The following is a 3,201-nucleotide window of genomic DNA, read 5'->3' as shown; positions in this document are numbered from 1 at the left end:
ATCTCATTGTTGTTTTAATTTGCATTTCCCTGCTGGCTACTGATACTGCTCATCTTTTAATGTGCTTATCTTGAATTTGTGTATCTTTTATGGTTAAATGTCTATTCATATTTTTCCAATTTTCTTATTGAGTTATTTGCTAACATATTATAGGCTTCATCTTTAAATGTTTGACAGAAGTCACCCCTAAAGCTGCTTTTACCTGGAATTTTCTTTGTTTACAGATTCAATTTGTTTAGTAGGAAAAGCACTATAAAGTTATCTATTTTATGTATTATTTTGAGGAAGCTTTAGCAATTTGTATCTTTCAAGACATTTTTATACTTCTTCTATTTGTAATACATTAGTATAAAGCTACCCACAATATTCCTTATTAGCCTATTAAACTCTATAGGCTCTGTACTAATTTCTCTCCTCCCATTCCTGATACTGGAAATTAGTTTCGTGTCTTCCCTCCTCCCCAAATCAACTTGGCTAGAGGTTTCTTTTCAAAGAACTTCATTTAGTCTTTAAGTATTTGTATTGTTTTTCTAATTTCTTATATCTGTTCTTGTCTTTCTTCTGCTTATTTGGGGTTTTAATTTGCCTTTCTTTTTCTAATTTTTTTAAAGTGGAGTTGAGATCATTAATTTCAGTCCTTTTCTGACTTTATATATTTATTTTTCATTTTTTATTTTTTTATTATACTTTAAGTTCTAGGGTACATGTGCACAACGTGCAGCTTTGTTGCCTATGTATACATGTGCCATGTTGGTGTGCTGCACCCATTAACTTGTCATTTACATTAGGTATATCTCCTAATGCTATCCCCCCCTCCCCCCACCTCACAACAGGCCCCTGTGTGGAAATTGCAATATAAGCACTGCCTTAGCTGCAAATGATACTTTTTGATAGCTTCTGTTCTCATTTTCATTAAGTTCAAAGCGATTTTAAGTTTTTCCTTTTGATTTCTTCTTTGGCCCATGAATTGCTTAGACTTGTGCCACTTAGTTTTCACATATTTGCACTTTTTCAGCTATCTTTTTATTATTTATTTTGAATTTTATTCCATTAAGATCTGAACATATATTTTGTATAAATTGAGCCCTTCTAGAATTTATTAAGATTTATTCTGTGGTCCAAAACTTGACTACCCTGATAAATGTTTCATCTGAAATTGAATATATGTCATTGTTGGGGAAAGTACCTTATAAATGTCAAGTAAAATAGAGTGATACTGTTTGAGCTTTCTCTGTTTTTGCTTCATGCATTTTGAAAATCTATTGTTAGTTAAACATTCACGATGTATAATAGGCTATTCTTGCATCACTATAAAGAAACACCTGAAGCTGAATAATTTATAAAGAAAACAGGTTTGATTGGTTCATAGTTCTGCAGGCTGTACAGGAAGCATGGTGTGGCTTCCATTGATGCCACAGGAAGCTTACAATTATGGTAGAAGGCAAAGGAGGAGCCAGTGTCTCATATGGTGAGAGTGGGAGCAATAAGAGACTGGTGAGGAGGTGCCACACACTTTTAAACAATCAGAGCTTATGAGAAACAATCAGAGCTTATGAGAACTCACTCACTATTGGGAGGGCAGCACCAAATGAAAGATGCTAAACCATTCATGAGAAATCTGACCCCATGATCCAATCACTTCCCACCAGGTCCCATCTCCCACACTGAGGATCACAATTCAACATGATTTTGAGGGGACAACATCCAAACTTGATCAGGATGCTTATGCTTTTTTGAAAAATTAACTCCTTTATCATTATGAAGTGACTCTCCTTATTGCTGGTAATATTCTTTCATGAAAAATCCACTTTTTCTTATATTCATATAGCTACATTTTAATCAGTGTTAAAATGATAATCTTCTTCCATCCTTGTATGAGTAATGTATTTGTGTTTTTATATTTAAATCGGGTTTCTTTTAGTCAGCATATTCATAGATCTTGCTTTTGAATCTAACTAGTGTGGTTATTCTGCCTTTTAATTGGGGGAGGAAACATTTAATTTGCTTATATATGGTTAGATTTAAATTTATAATCTTGGTATTTGTTTTATCATTTTCCCATATGTTGTTATTTATGTACTCTTCTGGTTTGAGTATTACTAGGGAGTCCATTTAATCTCCTTAATTGGCTTATTACCTAAAACAATTTAGTTTCTCTTTCTAGTGGTTGCTTTAATATTTTAGTACACACTTTAACTTACCACAGCCTATGTTCAAGTAATATGACACCACTCTATCTGAAAAAGATCGTTTAAGACTGTGCTTCCATATGCCCCTCTCCGTCTCGGTGCTATTGAAACCATCCCTATATACTTTATAAATTTAAGCAAGGAAGAAGCAAGAGGGAAAATAAAAACAAATCAAACTTGCAACACATTCAGCATTAATCATTAGGTTAGCTTACTCTCTGACCCTCTTCCTCATAGTTGTTTGCCTATTGTCCTGTAATTATGTAGACCCTGTTACAAGATTATAATTCCTCTTAACTGCTCCATAAATAACAACTTCAATATTATAAAATGTTAAATTTTCCCTTTGAGATATTCTTTCAGGTCCTACCTACCCAAAAAATTACTGACACCAGCTGGTCTGAAGGATCCCACTTACACCAGCTGGTCTGAAGGTCCCAAGAAGCTGACTCACCAAGCAATGCAGTTTCCACATGCATTCCTGATGATGTTGAGAGGTGACAGCGTGTTGGCAGCCCTCACAGCCCTTGCTCGCTCTCGGTGCCTCCTAGGCCTCAACGCCCATTCTGGCTGCACTTAAGGAGCTCTTCAGCCCGCCGCTGCACCGTGGTAGCCCTTCTCTGGGCTGGCCGAGGCCGGAGCCGGCTCCCTCCACTTGCGGGGAGGTGTGGAGGGAGACGCACCGGCTGGAACTGGGGCTGCGCACGGCGCTTGCGGGCCACTTAGAGTTCCGGGTGGGCGTGAGCTTGGCGGCCCCGCACTCGGAGCAGCCAGCCAGCCCTGCCGCCCCGGGCAGTGAGGGGCTTAGCACCCAGGCCAGCAGCTGCGGAGGGTGTGCCGGGTCTCCCAGCAGTGCTGGCCCACCAGCGCTGCGCTGGATTTCTCGCCGGGCCTTAGCTGCCTCCCTGCGGGGCAGGGCTCAGGACCTGCAGCCCGCCATGCGTGATTCTCCCTCCCCCACCGCCCCCGCATCGCTGACCCTCCCGGCGGCCCCGCCCTCGCCATAGGCTCC

The 3,201-nt window shown here is 39.9% G+C and overlaps 1 annotated feature.

The window, feature by feature from the left end:
- Positions 2,576–2,776: a silencer, noted in NCBI's record as "peak6814 fragment used in MPRA reporter construct". NCBI's record gives its function as "represses an SCP1 promoter by STARR-seq MPRAs in K562 erythroleukemia cells {active_cell/tissue: K562}" and the evidence as "EXISTENCE:reporter gene assay evidence [ECO:0000049][PMID:32103011]".

Source organism: Homo sapiens, chromosome 7 (genome assembly GCF_000001405.40).
Source record: "Homo sapiens chromosome 7, GRCh38.p14 Primary Assembly".
NCBI classification, from domain to species: domain Eukaryota; kingdom Metazoa; phylum Chordata; class Mammalia; order Primates; family Hominidae; genus Homo; species Homo sapiens.
Note: the sequence above shows the minus strand (reverse complement) of the source record. Positions and strands in the feature narration are given on the sequence as shown.